The sequence below is a fragment of the Homo sapiens genome, chromosome 5 (assembly GCF_000001405.40).
Source record: "Homo sapiens chromosome 5, GRCh38.p14 Primary Assembly".
Lineage (NCBI taxonomy): Eukaryota > Metazoa > Chordata > Mammalia > Primates > Hominidae > Homo > Homo sapiens.
Window position 1 is genome coordinate 177,671,348 of NC_000005.10, and position 18,899 is coordinate 177,690,246.

General features: G+C 44.1%; 1 long non-coding RNA gene and 1 pseudogene across 6 annotated transcripts in view, besides 2 other annotated features; one reads left to right on the forward strand and one right to left on the reverse strand.

Moving 5' to 3' along the window:
* SIMC1P1 (SIMC1 pseudogene 1) overlaps positions 1 to 930 on the reverse strand; it is a 53,778-nt pseudogene extending 52,848 nt beyond the window's left edge. The window contains exon 1 of the transcript NR_026921.1: positions 674 to 930. The product of NR_026921.1 is annotated as an SIMC1 pseudogene 1 (transcript). The remainder of the gene's footprint in view (positions 1 to 673) is intronic.
* Positions 667 to 856: a silencer, noted in NCBI's record as "silent region_16705". NCBI's record gives its function as "represses an Ori minimal core promoter by ATAC-STARR-seq in GM12878 lymphoblastoid cells {active_cell/tissue: GM12878}" and the evidence as "EXISTENCE:reporter gene assay evidence [ECO:0000049][PMID:35858748]".
* Positions 867 to 996: a silencer, noted in NCBI's record as "silent region_16706". NCBI's record gives its function as "represses an Ori minimal core promoter by ATAC-STARR-seq in GM12878 lymphoblastoid cells {active_cell/tissue: GM12878}" and the evidence as "EXISTENCE:reporter gene assay evidence [ECO:0000049][PMID:35858748]".
* The window catches only part of LOC107986489 (uncharacterized), a 57,699-nt gene continuing 39,831 nt past the window's right edge, over positions 1,032 to 18,899 (forward strand). The window contains exon 1 of one of the 5 annotated variants that reach the window (XR_001743020.2): positions 1,032 to 1,197. This is a non-coding gene — a long non-coding RNA (uncharacterized LOC107986489). Of the gene's footprint in view, positions 1,198 to 5,740; positions 5,813 to 8,538; positions 9,834 to 10,853; positions 11,025 to 18,351; positions 18,394 to 18,899 lie in introns of those variants that run through there. The other 4 variants (XR_001743023.2, XR_001743022.2, XR_001743021.2 and 1 more) reach the window with 4 other exon arrangements.

Genomic DNA, 18,899 nt, shown 5'->3' on the forward strand with positions numbered 1-18,899 from the left:
GGATTCTCGAAAGGCAGATAATTCACCACCTCATGAACGACAAAGACGAAGGGGTTCTGAGGGAAACAGAAATAGCGCGCGAGGTTTCCTTCCCTATTCCTTCAGGGCTTGGTACAGGGTAAGTGCTGAGGAAATAAATCGCCCTCCTGTACAACTCCAAAATCGGGCCCCTCGCTCTGCAGTCAGGCCCTGGAGCGCGGCCACCATCTGGCCCAGGCCCGCGCTTCCCTCCCTCCCAGCCTGGGCTCCTGTTACCTCCCTGCACACATCTGTGTCCACCACAGGCCGAAGAATTACGCGCTCCCGCTTTCCTGCATCGGCCCGGCCAGTACACCCGAGCCCCCACGTCCCGCCGAGGCTCCGAGGACGCCCGCGGCCCCGGCCTGAGACCCCAGCCCCTGCAGCAGGCGCGCCAGGAGCTCGTCCATGTGCTCGGCCGCTTTCCAGCCGCAGTCCTCTCGGGCTTCAGCGCTGAGCCTGGGAGGCCCGGCCTCCCCGGTCCCTGCCCTGGCCCCTGCCCCGGCCCGCCGCGCTCCCCGGGGCCCGAGAGGCCCGGAAGGAGGCAAGGCGGGAAGTGGCTGCAGCTGTGAGGCGCCAGGGGCGGGAAGCGGGCGGCGGGCCCAGCCGAGGGTCGCGAAGACGCGCGCCCCCAAACGAGGCGACGCTCACTCACCACGGTCCGGCGGGGCAGCGCGCCGGAGGTTCGCGACAGGGCCCGGCGCAGCCTCCGCGACCGGCCCGGGCGGGCGCCCCCGGAGCTCTCAGAGCCGCTGTCGTCCGAGATCACGATGTAATCCTCCATGGCTGCGGGCCCCGACCGAAGACCCAGGCAGTGGCGGCGGCGGCGACGACTTCGGTTCCTGCTTCTGAGGTGGCGGCGGCGGGGGCGGCGGCAGCGGCGGCGGCTACAACCCGGGCCACCGCCCCGCCGGCCCCGCCCCGAGCCCCGCCCCGCCGGGCCGCCAAGCCCCGCCCACCGGCGGCGGGCGGCTGAGGTCAGGGCCAGGGTCGCTGTGCTTCGTGGCGGCGCGGGTCCTCCGTTTCCCAGGAGGAAGAAAAAAAGAAAAATGGAGTCGCAGCCGGCTTCGGCAGGTGTTGGGGCCAGGCGTGCGAGACGCCGAGGCCGCGGGGACTTCCCCACCTGCTTCCAACCGACGAAAGCGTGAAGTGAGGCGCGCCCAGTCCCACCCTGCCCAGGTGTGAAGCGCCTCCCGGACTGAGAGGGCCTTGACTGAGGGGCAGGGAGAGAGGTCCTGGCCCCTGAGTGACCGAGGATAGGTGACCTGGCTTCTGGCCGAGCTAAGGGAGAGAGAGAGACCCCACTTTTTGGTGCACACGCCCATGTGTATCTGTAGGATAAATGCCTAAAAGCGGACTTATTGGGGCAAAGGCCATGTTTTTGTAGTTTTGATAAATGATGCCAAATTACCCTCCTAAATTGTACCAGTTTTGCGATTTCACCAACAATATGTGTCTCTCAGGAGTTTAAACTGAGATTTAGAGCAGGGGTGTCCAATCTTTTGGCTTCCCCAGGAAGAAGAATTGTGTTGGGCCATACATAAAATACACTAATGATAGCTGATGACCTAAAGGAAAAGAGTTGCGAAAAAAAAAAACTCTTAATGTTAAACAGGGAGTTAAACAAGTTTGACGTAGACAGTTGTTCAGTTGGTATCAGGATCAGAAGCTGAAAAGGTGCACAAAAGAAGCCATGAAGTAGCAGAGGCCATGAATAATTAGATGTTGTGAATAAGCAGAAGTTATAAAGGTGAAAAAGGTTGTCCCCAGTAGAGGAATCGGTGGGTAGTTGGCTGGTTGGTTGGTTGTAGGGCAGGACCATTAAAATCAAGATAGGACCTATTGGTACACTAAATGTGGGGTATTGACAAAATCCTGCTGCTCAGGCTCCAGAAGTTTTGCAAAATATGTTAACAGATCCAAAGAATAATGTGTTTAATAGGAGGGGAATTTGTTCCTAAAGGAATGGTTATCAGGTGCTCTCCAAGCACTGTCTAATGCAGTGTTTTTCACACTTTGGTGAGCATCAGAATCCCCTAGAGTGTTTGTTAAGACAGACTGCGGCCGGGTGCGGCGGCTCACGCCTGTAATCTCAGCACTCTGGGAGGCCGAGGCGGGTGGATCACTTGAGGTCAGGAGTTCGAGACCAGCCTGGCCCACCTCGTCTCTACTAAAAATACAAAAATTAGCTGGGCATGGTGGCAGGCGCCTGTAATCCCAGCTATTTGGGAAGCTGAGGCAGGAGAATTGCTTGAACCCGGGAGGCGGAGGTTGCAGTGAGCCGAGATCGTGCCATTGCACTCCAGCCTGGGGGACAGAGCAAGGCTCCATCTCAAAAAAACAAAAACAAAAAACCCAACAAAACACAGATTGCTGGGTTGCTGGTATGGTTTGGATCTGTGTCCCCACCCAAGTCTCCTGTTGAATTGTAATCCCCAATATTAGAGGTGGGGACTGGTGGGAGGTGATTGGATCATGGGGGTGGTTTCTTATGAATGGTTTAGTACCATCCCTTTGGTACTGTCCTTGTGATAGCGAGTTCTCTTGAGATCTGGTTGTTTAAAAGTGTGTGGCACCTCCCACCTCGCCCCTTTCCCCATGTGATGTCCACTCCCCTTTCGCCTTCCGTCTTGATAGTAAGGTTCCTGAGACCTCCCCAGAAGCAGATGCTCCTATGCTTCCTGTACTGCTTGCTGAACCGTGAGCCAATTAAACCCCTTTTCTTTATAAATTACTCAGTCTCAGGCATTTCTTTATAGCAATTCGAGAATGAACTAACAATCACACATCAGATTTTCTGATTGAGAAAAAGAATTTTGGGGGTGGGCCCCTGAAATTTGCATTTCTAACAAGTGCCCAGGTGATGTGGATGCTGCTAGTCTGGGGACCACACTGTGAGAACTACTGGTCTGGTGGACGGGGAGTTTATGCCCAGCAGATTTCAGACATTCTGGTCCAATGGGTGAAGTCACCCTTGTGAAAGGATTCATTAAGTTGTCTTCATCTAAAGCTATTAAACATTTAGGGTTGTGATCTCTCACACCTGTAATCCCAGCACTTTGGGAGGCCGAGTTGGGAGAATAGCTTGAGGCCAGGAGTTTGAGACTAGCCTGGGCAATATAGCAAGACCCTGTCTCTACAAAAATAAAAACAAATTAGCCAGGTGTGGTAGTGCATGCCTGTGGTCCTAGCTACTCAGGCAGCTGAGGTAGGAGGATCCCTTGAGCCCAGGAGTTGGAGGCTGCAGTGAGCTATGATACTGCCCCTGCACTCCAGTTGGGGCAATAGGGTGCGACCCTGTCTCAATAAAACAAAATGAAACAAAATACACAACCATTTGGTGTGTCTGACTACCTGCTTGCTGGAACACTGTCTTCTGTAGGTTTCTGTGATGCTGTGCTTCTCTCACCACTTTTTTTTTAGTCTCCTTAGCTGACTCCTCTACTCACTCCTTAAACTCTTGATGTCCCTTAGAGTCCTGACATCGGCCACCTTTACACACGGGACCTCTTCCCTCTACAATCTCAACTATTCCCTGGCTTCAGTGATTGGTTTTATGCCAATGGCTGCCACGAGTTTATCTCAGCCCAGTCCTGTCCTTAAAACTCCAGTTGTATACATCCAAACATGTGCTGAATCTCGTAGGCCTCTCAGGTTGAGTATGTCTAAAGCCAAACTCACCTTTATGCTCCCCACACCCACAAAAAAGCCTGCTCTCTTTATGTGTCTTATGGTGATGGCTCCACCAGCCAGCAATTGCTGAAGTGAAAAACCTGAGTATTGCACTTGGTGTCTCCCCTTTCCTCAACAAGTCCTGTCTGTTTTACCTCCTAAACATCTCCTGCATCCCTCTACTTCTTTTGGCCTCTGCTGCTGATTCTGGCCAAGCTCTGGCCTACTCTACTGTGGCAAGACATAAGAGTGTTCAGATTGTATCTTTCTCATCAGCCATCCTGCCTGAAATACAGGAAACTCAGGACCCCTGGTCGTATAATATGAGAACAGCTTAAAAGTACCCTGCCCTTACTTGGCAACCCAGGTGGGATGAATACTGGCTGTGAAGTTGCCCTCCTTAAAACTATAAGTAATGTCACTTATGTTTCCTTGGCCATCCTGGATTTGTCTTGAAGTGTGCCGTTTACCCAAGACTTCCAAAGTGATTGTATGTTTTTCAGAAATTTGTGTATTTTTTTTAAGGTGACACTTTTTCATAGACTCACTCCCCCCAAACCATACATTAGTCTCATGTAAATTGAGAGGCTAATGTAGTATTTTATGCATCCAGTGAATACTGTATTTGGTGAGTACCTGCTAGATGCTAGGCTTATGTTAGGGGTCGGGGATAAAGCAGTGAGCAGGACAGCTATTACCTCTGTTCTCAAAGAGCTTAGCAGTTAAGGAGGTATCACTAGTTGGTTAATGAAGAAAAAATGGTTTCTTTTAAAATAATTTTTAATGAAAAATTCATACATGAGAAAATGTGTGAAGATGCAAATCAAAACCACATTGAGATCCTACTTTATACCCATTTAGGATGGCTATTTTTTTAAAAAACAGAAAACAAATTTGGGAAGGATATGGAGAAACTGGAACCACTGTGCGTTGCTGGTAGGAATGTAAAATGGAGAAGCAGCTGTGAAAAATAGTTTGGCAGTTTCTCAAAAAGTTAGATGTAGAATTACCGTATGATTCAACAATTCTACTCCTAGATATTTGCCCAGAAAAACTGAAAACGGGACTCAAACAGGTACTCGTCTGCAAATCTTCACAGCAGCATTATTTCTAATAGCCAAAAGGTAGAAACAGGTCTTCCTCAGCAGATGAATGGATTAAAAAAAAGTGGTATATACATATAATAGAATAATATATTCAGCCATGAAAAGGAATTAAATTCTGATAACATGTCACATGGATGAACCTTGAGAATATTATGCTAAGTGAAATAAGCCAGATACAAAAGGACAAATATACAATTCCATGTTTATGAAGTACCTAGAATAGGCAAATTCACAGAGACAGATAATGGAATAATGGTTTTTCAGGGGTTGGGGAAGGGGAGAATGGGGAGTTATTGTTTAATGTGTATTGAGTTTCAGCTTGGGATGACAAAGAGTTCTGGAAATGGATGGTGGTGATGGTTGCACAACTTTGTGAATGAACTAATGCCGCCAAATTGTATATTTAAAATGGTTATAATGGTAAATTTTGTGTTACGTCTATTTTACCAAAATAGAACACACTATGTGCATGGTTTTCTTTTATAAAATTTAAAAGCATTACAGACAAGGCTAAAGGCCCCTTTTGCCACCTCCCCCATCCAGATTCGCAATTCCCCCTTTTCAGTGCTGTTATGTTTATTCCTCTAGAGCTGCTTCTGTGTATTTACCTGAATTCATGTGTACTTACTAAAATTAAATACATTTTTAGCTTTATCGAATAACATATCTGCTCTGGTATAGAGTTGTTTATTTTTGAGACGAAGTCTCACTCTATCACCCAGGCTGCAGTGCAGTGGCACGATCTTGGCTCACCACAACCTCCGCCTCCTGGGTTCAAGCGATTCTCCTGCCTCAGCCTCCCGAGTAGCTGGGAGTAGCTGGGCATGCACGCCACCATGCCCGGCTAATTTTTGTATTTTTTTTTTTCAGTAGAGACGGGGTTTCACTGTGTTGACCAGTCTGGTCTTGAACTCCTGACCTCGTGATCCGCCTGCCTTGGCCTCCCAAAGTGCTGGGATTACAGGTGTGAGCCACCGCACGCAGCCTGCTATTGAGATTTGAAACCATCATTTGTGGTAAAAACATTCTAAATACAAAGCTTCCTGCCTTATTAATGGGGATTTTTTTTTTTTTGGTGGTTATTCATCTTTAAAATATTTTTTCTTTTTTCTATTTTTCATTACATGGCAGGGTCAGTGCCTGCAGACCCGCTTTTGTTTATGCTAAAGCCAGCTAGCTCAAGTTTCTCCCTGCTCTAGGGAACATTCTGTCCCTTCTGTGGGATTCCAGGTCTAATCTTCCAGTTTCAGGGCACTCTTAGCTTTTCCACTGGATTGCTTCAGCAGGCGGCCTCTCAGTTTACATAACTTTATTTAAATCATTTTCTTATACTTTCTCCCTGCTTCCTTCCCATCTTCAAATTTGCTGTGATATCAAGGCCTTTGTAAAAATTTTGTTTCATTCCCTATGTTTGAAGAATCCTCATTTGAGAAAGTTAAAGCAATTGAGAAAGGTTACGAAGCAGAATGTGTAACTCCATCATATTTTGATAACATCTTTCCAGATATCTCTAAATGGCCGATACTCACATGTGCAAAATTTTTACATAAATGGGATCAGACTATGCATATTGCATCACAGTTGGTTTTCTTAAATTAATATGTCCTTATGGTTTTCTGTGTCAGTGAACATGGATCTATAGTATCCATATTGTCTATTGGCTCATATTTTAAAATAGCGTATTTGCTTTTATATAGAAAACCACAAAGAAGCAAGCAAAAAAATATACCACGTTCTCCCATTCTTGGTATCCCTCATTGAACAGTTTGTAAAACTAAAAGAAACATCTTGTGAGTTCAGTAAATTCTTGCTACCAAAACTTACAAAATGAAAAGTGAAAGTTGAAAGCCACCCTCTCTTTCCTAGTTCTTCCTCCTAACACTAAATACCTTTATTAGTTTCTTGTAAATCCTTCAAAACATACTTACTTACTACACATACTTATCTGTTCTAACACACCATAAAAATCACACTGTACAGTTATTTACTTTGCCTTTTGTAATTTATCATGGGCATTATTTCCTAACTGCAGGGTAAACATATCTGTCACTTTTTAACAGCTTACATTAAAAAGTCATTTGTTAGGCTGTGCCATAATTTATTTAATTGGTTTTCTATCATGGATATTTTGGTTGTTTCTAGGGTTTTTGTGTATTTTTGTTATTACTATTACCAATTATGTTACAACAACATCTTTGAGCTTCTAAGAAGTCTTGCCAGCATATCTGCAGGGAAATTCTTTTTTTTTTTTTTGAGACGGAGTCTCATTCTGTCGCCCAGGCTGGAGTGCAGTGGCACCATCTTGGCTCATTGCAAGCTCTGCCTCCCGAGCTCACACCATTCTCCTGCCTCAGCCTCCCGAGTAGCTGGGATTACAGGCGCCCGCCACCACGCCCGGCTAATTTTTTTTGGTATTTTTAGTAGAGACAGGCTTTCATCCTGTTAGCCAGGATGGTCTCGATCTCCTGACCTCGTGATCTGCCTGCCTTGGCCTCCCGAAGTGCTGGGATTACAGGCGTAAGCCACTGCACCTGACCCGGGAAATTCTTAAGCATGGGGGACTGGGTTAGAAGATGTGTGTTTTACATATTGATAGAAATTCCCAAATTGTCATCCAGAAAGGTTGCACCAAATAACGTATCAACAAAAGCACTTGGGAGTGCTTATTTCCCCAAATTCTTCAAGCACTGGTTATCAGACTTTTTAGTTGTTGCCAATCCAATAATTTAAGGTTGGTATCTTGTCCTGATTGCCTTTACTTCATTATGAGTGAAGTTATGACACTTTTAAAGTGCTCATTGGCTATTTGTAGCTTTTTCTTTAAACTGTGTTCATATACGTTGACTTTTTTCTCCTATGCTGTTCATCTTTTTCAGTAACAGTGAAATCTATATGAATAGCTAACATTTACAAAGTATTACATTGCTTGCATATTCAACAAGACACCAAATAATGAACATTTAGGATGTTTACAGTATTATCTTGCTACTTTAAACATTCTTGCACATACATCTTTGTACTTTGGACCAGATATCTATCTGTTTAAGTTAAATTTCTAGAAGTGGAATTGCTGATTTAAAGTTGAATTATTTGTCCAAATGTTCCAAAGAGCATTGTGTGATAGGGGAATGGTCCAAGTGAAGAAGTAGGAAAGAAAGGAACTAAACAGTTACTCCCAATTGCAAGGCCAGTCAGCTCTAAATTAGAGTTTAGTTAGCAGGCTAATTGATGATATCATCCTACCTGCTTTCATCAATAAGCTTTGTAAAATCCTAACTCTCTTTCTCTATTTGAGTGCCCAGACCTCCTGGGAGTCTGCAAATTCTAGGGTTAAAAAAAAAAAAAGAAAAAGTAATTTTGTAATTTTCAGGTGAGCAATAGTATTAAAAATTATAAGCACATTCTGAATCATTTTATGACCGTACAACTCCAACATTGGCTTTATATTTCTGTTTATAGTTGCCTGCATTGGTGCATAATGTTTTTGTCTTTTTTTTTTGAGACGGATCTTGCTCTGTCCCCCAGGCTGGAGTGCAGTGGCACCATCTCGGCTCACTGCAAGCTCCGCCTCCCCGGTTCACGCCATTCTCCTGTCTCAGCCTCCCAAGTAGCTGGGACTGCAGGTGCTCGCCACCACGCCTGGCTAATTTTTTGTATTTTTAGCAGAGACAGGGTTTTACCGTGTTAGCCAGGATGGTCTCGATCTCCTGACCTCGTGATCCGCCTGCCTTGGCCTCCCAAAGTGCTGGGATTACAGGCGTTAGCCACCGCGCCTGGCCAGGTGCATAATGTTTTAAGGCACTATGGTAGTTCATGAATTTTAACTAAGTGGAGGGAGGTAGTGGGAGAATTGAGCCAGTTTACTCATGGGGCATGTGGACTCCGGGGCAAGCAGAGCTCAAAAGAACCTGGGCAAAAGCAATCCTTTAAGTTAGAAGAATGTAGGAAATGATTTGAGGGAGGATGAGTTGAGCAAATCCTGTCTTTGTACAACTTGTTCATTAGCAGCAAGTGTAGTAGGAAACAATGACATTGTTTTACATTTCTGATTTGAGTAATAATTAGATTAGGACACCAATTCAAGCCAAATTGCATTAATGACCACAATGTCCACCTTAGTTTTACAGGAGTTATTGGGTAACTGCATAAAACCAGGCATTCCAGGATTGTTTGGAGGTGGTTTTGACCAAGTATGAGGTCTACCTTGAGGTAGCAAAGAACTGAAGTTATTAACACCATTTTGTACAGAATAATTATCTGAACATTTTCTGCATTCATGTTATTGACAAAATCAATAGACAAAAGTTGGTGTGCTCTCATGTTTTGTTCTAATATGCATTTAATTAATAATGATATATAAAATGCTATTTTTTCTTTGTTCCAATGTTACTTTCTTGTGAAAAAAGACATCCAAGACAAAAATCTACTACTCACATTAAGTTGTCCTTTGTCCTAGTTACCATTACATATTCAGTTTTACATATTTTAACAATATTGTGGTTAGACTTTGGATTTATACATTTCACTTAGCATACTGTGAATATTTTCCAATTTTGCAAATCTGTTTGTTATCTCCCTTTATGCTCTTCTTATACATTCTTTGTTGACCACCAGCATGACCACCATCACCAGGCAAATGTTGTTTGCCCAGGTATGTAAGCCTGTACATATTTCTCCATAATCATGTAAGCCTCTCCAAAGATATACAGACACATGTACACCACATAGAAATATATAAAATATATGTTAGAGATTGTGAATTTGTCATTTGCTTTTACTAAAGTGAGATCATAAACTATATTTCTTAACCACTTTTTTTTTGCTTAATTCATCCGGACAGCCACCAGATCAATACACTACAGATCCTACTTGTTTTAAATAGTGACATAGTTATTCCTACTGTAGAGGTACATGTTTATTTACTTTTTCCCCATTGATGGTCATTCAAGCTGTTTTCATGTTTTTTGTCATTACAATGTCACAGTAAGTCTCAGATTCGACCTTACATTGTTAGGACTAGGATCACTAGATCAAAGGGTATGTATATTTTTGGTTTTAGTGTATAAGGCCATGTTACTTACTTTAAAAGGTTGTAGGTCATATCACCCAGTATCAATGTGTGGACCTTATTTGGATCTCAGTTCAAACAAAATAGAAAAAGCATGACATTTACAAGACAGTTGGAAATTTGAACACAGGGTCAGGTGTGGTGGCTCATGCCTGTAATCCCAGGTCCTGGGGAGGCTGAGGTAGGAAGATCACTCGAGCCCAGGAGATCGAGGCTGCAGTGAGCTATGATCGTGCTACTGCGCTCCAGCCTGGGCAGGGAGCAAGACCCCGTCTCTTAAAAAAAAATTTGAACACTGCGTAGATGTTTCACTAAATTAAGGACTTTTTGGTTTTCTATTTTTAGATGTAATAATGGTCAAGAGACATTCTGAAATATTTATGGATAAAATAATTTGCTTCAGAAAGGTATCGGGGAGAGACAAGTGGATGGAAACAGGGATAAAATGAATGGCCTTGAATTGACAATTGTTGGAGCTGGTATAATGAGAGTCCATTATACCACTGTCTTCCTTTTAGATATGTTAGAAATTCTCCACAATAATAATTTTATAAAGCTGTAATAATTCACCCTATATTATCAATGTATGAGAAAAATGATTACCTTACATTTCCCTTGGTAATGGGTGTTACTACTTTTATTTTTGTCAATCTGATGTGTGCAAAGAGGTATTTGCTGCTGTAATTTGTATTTACCTTACTGCTAGTGAGATTGATTATCTTGAGAAAGTGTAACACTTCCTTTTTGGCAGCTAGCAGTCAGGTTATGGTGTTCCCAAACAAACATAAAGAATACTTTCTAGAATATAAATGGGATATAGACAAGGCTACTGCATGACCATGTCTGGAACAAAATAGAGAAAAGCCATTTTGCAACCATGGAAACAATAAAACATTCTCCATTTCTGACTGGAGTGACTGCTGCTCATTTACCAATGACGACTGTAGTCTTACCTTAGTCCTACTTCCTAGATAAGAATTAAGATAAGCCACTGCATTGCCCTAACTTATTAACAACCCTCAACTCACAGCTAATCCTCACTTCTCCAGCTTTTCTTGAAATAATCTAGTACAAGCCCAAATCCTATGAGAAGCCCCTTTCAATTCCTTGTTGAGACCTCTACAGTTCCTTTGGAGTGCTTTCCCCGCTCCTGCAGCAAGGTAAATAAACCAAACTATTTTCTACTATAGAAATGTTCCTGATGGCCTTCAGTCAGTGGGCTTTAAAACAATCTTTTTAAAGTTTGTCAATTTGGATTTCTTCTTCTTTGGAACATTTTCCCAATTCAGTGGGTAGTTTTGAAATTTTTCCTTTTGTCTGAGAGTCAGTTTCATTTTTACCTACCCTACTCTTTAAAAATATTTTTCTGGCCAGGCGTGGTAGCTGTAATCCCAGCAGTTAGGGAGGCCGAGGTGGGTGGATCACCTGAGGTTAGGAGTTCAAGACTAGCCTGGCTAACGTGGTGAAACCTCGTCTCTACTAAAAATACAAAAATACAAAAATTAGCTGGGCGTGGTGGCGGGTGCCTGTAATCCCAGCTACTTGGGAGGCTGAGGCAGGAGAATCGCTTAAACCTGGGAAGTGGAGGTTGCAGTGAGCCAAGATTGCACCACTGCACTCCAGCCTGGGTGACAAGAGCCAGATTCCGTCTCAGAAAAAAAAAAAAGTTTTTGTGGGTACATAGGTGCATATATTTATGGGTTGCATCAGACTCTTTGATACAGGCATGCAATGTGTAACAATCACATCAGGGTAAATGGGGGTAAACCTCAAGCATTTATCCTTTGTGTTACAAACTCTCCAATTATACTCTTATGTAAAAATGTACAATTAAATGATTTTTGGCTATAGTCCCCCCGTTATGCTAGCAAATACTAGGTCTTATTCATTCTAACTACTCTTTTTGTACCTGTTAATCATCCCCACTTCCTCCCAACCCCTGTTCTTTTCTAGGATCCATGTGTACTACCTAGAAGAAGTAAAAGATAAGGATTCCCATTCAGGTTAGATCACTCCAGGTTTGATGACGTTAGCAAGTATTTTCAGGGTTTTGTGAGTTCTCCAGTAAGGCTACTGGGGGTTGAGGCTGCAGTGTTGCTAAGTTGGACCTCCTTTTGCTCTAGACTCTCTTCTTAACTACCGATCTAGTTTGGCGATGCTGATAATGTGCGTGTTCAACGTGTGTGTGTGTGCGCTCACACGCGTGTGTGTGTGAGTGCATTTACCACTTATTGCTCATTTGGTAAGGTATTGAGGGAGAAAATTGCTAATACAATTTCATTTCATCATCTTATCAGAAGTCTGATATTTCTATTTTATTTTGATTTATATATTTACAAGCGCTTATGTGAGATATATAAAAATTCAAGTTAATTGTTATTTTACTGGTATGAAATATCACCATTTGTCCCTTTTAGTGCCTTTCATCTTGAGTCGTTGGTTACATAATATTATAACATACATAACAATTCTTTGATGTGCTGGGAAAATATTGATATTTAAGCCCACCTGTTTTTATCCAGTATGTAACTCTTTCACCATTCAGATAACTAGACGGAGTCATCCTTTGCCTTAAAGAAGATTGTCACAGTGGAACCAGAATACAAAAAGATACATTCTTGGCTTGTGAATGTCAAAGCTGGGGCTCAGGTATAAGATATTCGGAGCCAGTTTCTTCCCCCTCAGAGTGAGTCATGTTGCTTGCTCTATTAGTTCTATTTCCTTAGATGTGACTTCTCTCCTTCGTGGGGGGTGGTGTTTCTCATTTTTAGTGTTAGAGTTTTCCTCAAATATTTTGTCATTCTTGGTTGGGTGTTTGTCTTAATTTTTGAAGTTCCCTGTTAGCTCACATGTGAGTGCTGGATTTTTTCATAGCACCTTGTTGCCAGTAATTTCAGGAAAGAATTTGGACTTGCAATGGGATAGGGTTTGTTAGCATCCAGTCTTCTGGGACAGGCATGTGTGTGTGTTGGGGGAAACCACATAGTTACCATGGGCACTGCAACGCCCTGCCTCTCTGGCTCAGATGCTCACACTCGCACTTACTGCTCTTAAGCTTCTGCTGCCAGTTGCTTTGCAAACGCTGGAGAAGGTTACTCTTAGGTGCCCAGGGCTCACTCGTGTTTCCTCATATCTGCTGCTCCTGAGGTTGGAGATCCATCAAGTTGATCTTACCTTTTGTTGCGATTTTCTCCTCTGGATGTTTTAGATTATGATTTTCTCCTTCAATCTGACACCATTTGCTCTCCATTTTTCTGGGATTTCCTTCTAATTCCTGCAGACTAATGATTACCAACATATCAGGCCTCAACACTATTCTAATCAATTTTCTCTCCTTCACACACTTCCTGAGAGAGTCATCTACATTAGCAGGCTCCATTTTCTAGCCTCATATTCACTTCTCAACCCACCCCAATCTAGCTCCCACTCCTCATTAGTCAGCAGAGATAGTGCTCACTCAGGTCCCCTGACCTCTGTGGTGGTTTTAAAACATGTCCACAAATTCCTTAGAAGTCCCTCCTTCAAAAGGCAGGTCTAATTTCCCTCCCTTTAAGTGTAGGTTGTACTTGGTTGACTTGCGTATGATAAATAGAATGTGTCAGAAGTGATGGTGGGTGATTTCCAAGTCTGGGTTGAAAAAGGCAATGTGACTTCAACGTTTCTCTCCTGCATAGATTGCCTACTCTGGGAGAGCCAGGTGTGAGTGGGCCTTGGTGGATGAGGATCCTCCAGGTCTACTGGCCTTTTAGATGGCTGCAGCCTCATGAGACACTGGGCCCAAATCACTCAGCTGAGCAGCTCCTGGATCCTTCAGTTTCAGAAACTGCATGAGTATCTTAATCTGTTCATGCTTCTGTGACAGAATACCTAAGACTGGGTCATTTATAAAGAACAGAAATTCATTTCCTCACTGTTTCTGGAGGCTGGGAAGTCCAAGATCAAGGTGCCAGCACGGGTACGTGGTGAGGGCCTTCTTGCTGCATCCTCTGGGAGAGAGGAATACTGTGTCCTCACATGGTTGAAGAGGAGAAGAGAGAGCTAAGCAAATGCTGCAAGAAGCCTCCTTTAGAACGGCCTCAATCCCATTAATGAGAGAGGAAACTTCATGGCCTAATCATCTCGTAAACACCCCACCCCTTCATACTGTCACATTGGCAACACCTGAATTTTGGAGGGGATGCATTCAAACCACAGCAATCAGTTAATATATATTTGTTGTTGTAAGGTGCTGAAGTTTAGGGTAATTTGTTACACAGCAATAGATAAGGAATACAACCTACACATTGTTATATCTAAAGGATGCCGTGACTTCTGGGCAGCATTTGACACTGTTGACCTCTCCCTCTCTGAAACACTCTTCCTTTTAATTCCACCACACTACATTCTTCTACCTCCCCAATCCTTCCTTCTCATTCCTTTGCCAGTTCTTTCTCCTCTGCAGTCATTTCAGTGATGAGCTCTTTAAAGTCTTCTTCTCTTTTCAATCTAATCTTTCTCAGAGTTCTCACTCAGCCTCTCAGTAAATATGCAGTTGACAGTTTCTTCATCCAACCCAGACGTCTTCCCAGAACAAGTCACCTGCATTTGAAACTGTTCGCTCAGCATTATCCTTCATCACCCCCAAAGCACCTCAGTCTCTACTCAGAAAACAAATTATCTTTCCCTCAAAACTTGGTTCTCTTTCTGTGTTTTCTATTTCAGTGAATAACACTACCACCATCTATCCAGTTGCTTATAGCCCGCCATGCTCCTCTCTCTCCTTAACCACGTATCTAATCCATTTCCAAGCCTGCTTAACTCCTGCATCATCTCTTAAATCTCCTCTGCTATCCAAGCCATGATTCTTTGTCACCAGGACTCTTATTGTAGCCTTCAAACCTATTGCCTTACATCTACCCTAGGCCCGTCTCCTGTCCATTGTCCATACTATTGCTTGAGGGATATTTTCAAAACACAAATCTGATCATGTTTCTTTTCTTTTTTAAATGTCTTTTTGTTCTGCTTTAATGCATTTAAAGGCTTTAATCATCTCCTATCAGTCTTTGACTAAAACCCCCAAATCCTTAAGATGACCTGCCAGTCTCTGTCTTCTTATCACAGCCTACATCTCTAGTCTCATTGTGCCACACTCCCCACTTGCTCCCTGAAATTCAGCCATAGTGACCCTTCTAACATGGTATGTTCCCCCTTGACCCAGGCAGGGCCTTTATGGGAGCCTCTATGAAATGCTTAGTCCCTGGCAGATCTCAGCACAGCATCCCTAGGTCATGGAAAACTCTCCAAACCTCCAATCTATGTCAAGAACATATCTTACAACTTTCTGGAGAATTGGGGCCCTTTTCTCTAGGTCATAGCCTAAGTTAATAATTGGGCCTAGAGGTGGTACCTTTGATTAACATTTGCCCCCCCTCTTCAACTGTGAGTGCCGCGAGAGCGTGGAGAATGCCCGACTGTGAACACTGTTGCAGCTCAGTGCCCGGCACAGGGTCCAATAACCTCGTAGACATTTGATGAATATTTGGGACTGACTGTTCCTTGAAAATTCAAAAGGACTTGCACATAAAAATCTTTGGTCTGGTGCCTTTTTATGGAATGTTTCTTTCAGTACTTGTTTTTCAAAGTTTTTTTTTTTTAACTTCTGATTTTATGGTTCTTCTTGAACCAATTTTGGTAATTCATATTTTCTCAAAACATGTCTGATTCAAGACTTACACATTCATCAGGAAAGAATTGTACAAACTATCTTATTATAATGGGGGAAATCACATTTGTGGTTTAATCTCTTCTTGTTTTTTATATGGTATATTTATCCCCCAACCCCCTTTAGGCTAGTGTGAGCTTGTCTATGTCATTGCTTTGATATTTTTCCTTTAAGAACCAGATTCTGTCTTTGTAATTTACGTTAGAAAGTTATGTAATTTTTATAGCCTTTCTTAAAACAGCTTTGTTGAGGCAGTTTACATACCACAATATTTACACATGTTAAGTGTTATAATTTAATGATTTTTAGTATATTTATAGGGTTGTGTAACCACCATCACAATCAAGTTTTAGAATATTTTGATCACCCCCCAAAAATCCCCTGCTTTTGTTTATTTGTAACCAATCCCTATTCCTACCCATAGGCTCAGGCAACTGCTAATCTGCTTTCTGTCTCTAGGTTTAATGCTTCGTCTGGACATTTCATATACATGAAATCGTATAATATCTGATCTTTTGCATTGGGCTTCTTTCATTCAATGTAGTGGTTTTGAGGTCATCCATGTTGTAGCATGTATCAATATATCATTTCTTTTTTTGTTGTTGTTGAGACAGAGTCTCGCTCTGTTGCCCAGGCTGGAGTGCAGTGGAGTGATCTCAGCTCACTGCAAGCTCCGCCTCCCAGGTTCACACCATTCTCCTGCCTCAGCCTCCCGAGTAGCTGGGACTACAGGGCCCACCACCACACCTGGCTAATTTTTTTTGTATTTTTGGTAGAGACAGGGTTTCACCATGTTAGCCAGGATGGTCTTGATCTCCTGACCTTGTGATCCACCCGTCTCGGCCTCCCAAAGTGCTGGGATTACAGGTGTGAGCCACTGCGCCAGGCCCTTCTATTTCTTAATAGTATTCTATTGTATAGATAGACTGCATTTCACTTGTCTGTTTACCAGTAGATTAACATTTGGTTCTTTCCACTTTTTGGCTGTATGAATAATGCTGCTGTGAACATCCCTGTGCAAGTCCATGTGGACATACAATTTCATTTCTCTTTATTACCTAGGAATGGAATGGCTGGGTAATATGGTAAATTTGTGATTAACCTTTTAAAAAGCCACCAGACTGTTATTTCACATTCCCATTGAGAGGTGACAGCGTGCTGGCAGTCCTCACAGCCCTCACTCGCTCTCGGCGCCTCCTCTGCCTGGGCTCCCACTTTGGCGGCACTTGAGGAGCCCTTCAGCCCACCGCTGCACTGTGGGAGCCCCTTTCTAGGCTGGCCAAGGCCGGAGCCCACTCCCTCAGCTTGCAGGGAGGTGTGGAGGGAGAGGCGCGAGCAGGAACCGGGGCTGCGTGCGGTGCTTGCGGGCCAGCTGGAGTTCCGGGTAGGCGTGGGCTTGGCGTGCCCCGCACTTGGAGCAGCCGGCCGGCCCTGCCGGCCCCGGGCAATGAGGGACTTAGCACCCGGGCCAGCGGCTGCGGAGGGTGTACTGGGTCCCCCAGCAGTGCCAGCCCACCGGCGCTGCGCTCGATTTCTCGCCGGGCCTTAGCTGCCTTCCCGCGGGGCAGGCCTCGGGACTGCAGCCTGCCATGCCTGAGCCTTCCCCCGCCTCCGTGGGCTCCTGTGCAGCCCGAGCCTCCCCGACGAGCACTGCCCCCTGCTCCACAGCGCCCAGTCCCATCGATCACCGAAGGGCTGAGGAGTGCGAGCGCATGGCGTGGGACTGGCAGGCAGCTCCACCTGCAGCCCCAGTGCGGGATCCACTGGGTGAAGCCAGCTGGGCTCTTGAGTCTGGTGGGGACATGGAGAACCTTTATGTCTAGCTCAGGGATTGTAAATACACTAGTCGGCACTCTGTATCTAGCTACTCTGGTGGGGCCTTGGAGCACCCTGTGTCTAGCTCAGGGATTGTAAATACACCAATCGGCACTCTGTATCTAGCTCAAGGTTTGTAAACACACCAGTCACCACCCTGTGTCTAGCTCAGGGTTTATGAGTGCACCAATCGACACTCTGTATCTAGCTGCTCTGGTGGGGTCTTGGAGAACATTTATGTCTAGCTAAAGGATTGTAAATACACCAATTGGCACTCTGTATCTAGCTCAAGGTTTGTAAACACACCAATCAGCACCCTGTGTTTAGCTCAGGGTTTGTGAGTGCACCAATCGACACTCTGTATCTAGCTGCTCTGGTGGGGCCTTGGAGAACCTTTGTGTGGATACTCTGTATCTAACTAATCTGATGGAAACGTGGAGAACCTTTGTGTCTAGCTCGGGGATTGTAAATGCACCAATCAGCGCCCTGTCAAAACAGACCACTGGGCTCTACCAATCAGCAGGACGTGGGTGGGGCCAGATAAGAGAATAAAAGCAGGCTGCCCCAGCCAGCAGTGGCAACCCGCTCGGGTCCCCTTACACATTGTGGAAGCTTTGTTCTTTCACTCTTTGCTTTAAATCTTGCTGCTGCTCACTCACTCTTTGGGTCCACACTGCTTTTATGAGCTGTAACACTCACTGCAAAAGTCTGCAGCTTCACTCTTGAAGCCAGTGAGACCAGGAGCCCACCAGGGAGAAAGAGCAACTCCAGATGCGCTGCCTTAAGAGCTGTAACACTCACCGCAATGGTCTGCAGCTTCACTCCTGAGCCAGCGAGACCCCGAACCCACCAGAAGGAAGAAACTCCGAACACATCCAAATATCAGAAGGAACAAACTCCAGACGCGCCACCTTAAGAGCTGTAACATTCACCGCGAGGGTCCGCGGCTTCATTCTTGAAGTCAGTGAGACCAAGAACGCACCAATTCTGGACACACCATCAGCAGTGTTGAGGTATGATTTACCTACCACAACCTCACCAATACTTGTCACTTTTTCTGTGAAAGGTCAGATAGTAAATATTTTAGAATTTGCAGACCACTGTGGTCTCTGTAGCAGCTACTCAATTCTGCCATGATAGTGTAAAAGCAGGCATAGACCATACATTATAAATAAATGGGAGGGCTGTATTGCAATAAAACTTTATTATACAGAAACAGGTGGTTCTGTAATTTACCAACGTCTTACCTAATTATAGCTATTCTAGTGGTAGCTCATTATGGCTTTAATTTGCATTTCTCTAATGACTAATGATGTCAAGCATCTACTCGTGTGCTCGTTAACAGTTTATATATCTTCCTCGGTGAAATGTTCAAATATTTTACCCATATTTTAATTGAATTGTTTGTGTACTTATTGCGTTATGAGAGGCCTTTATATATTCTAGATACAAGTCCTTGATCAGGTATATGATTTGCAAATATTTTTTCTAGTCTGTGATTTTTCTTTTTATTTTCTAA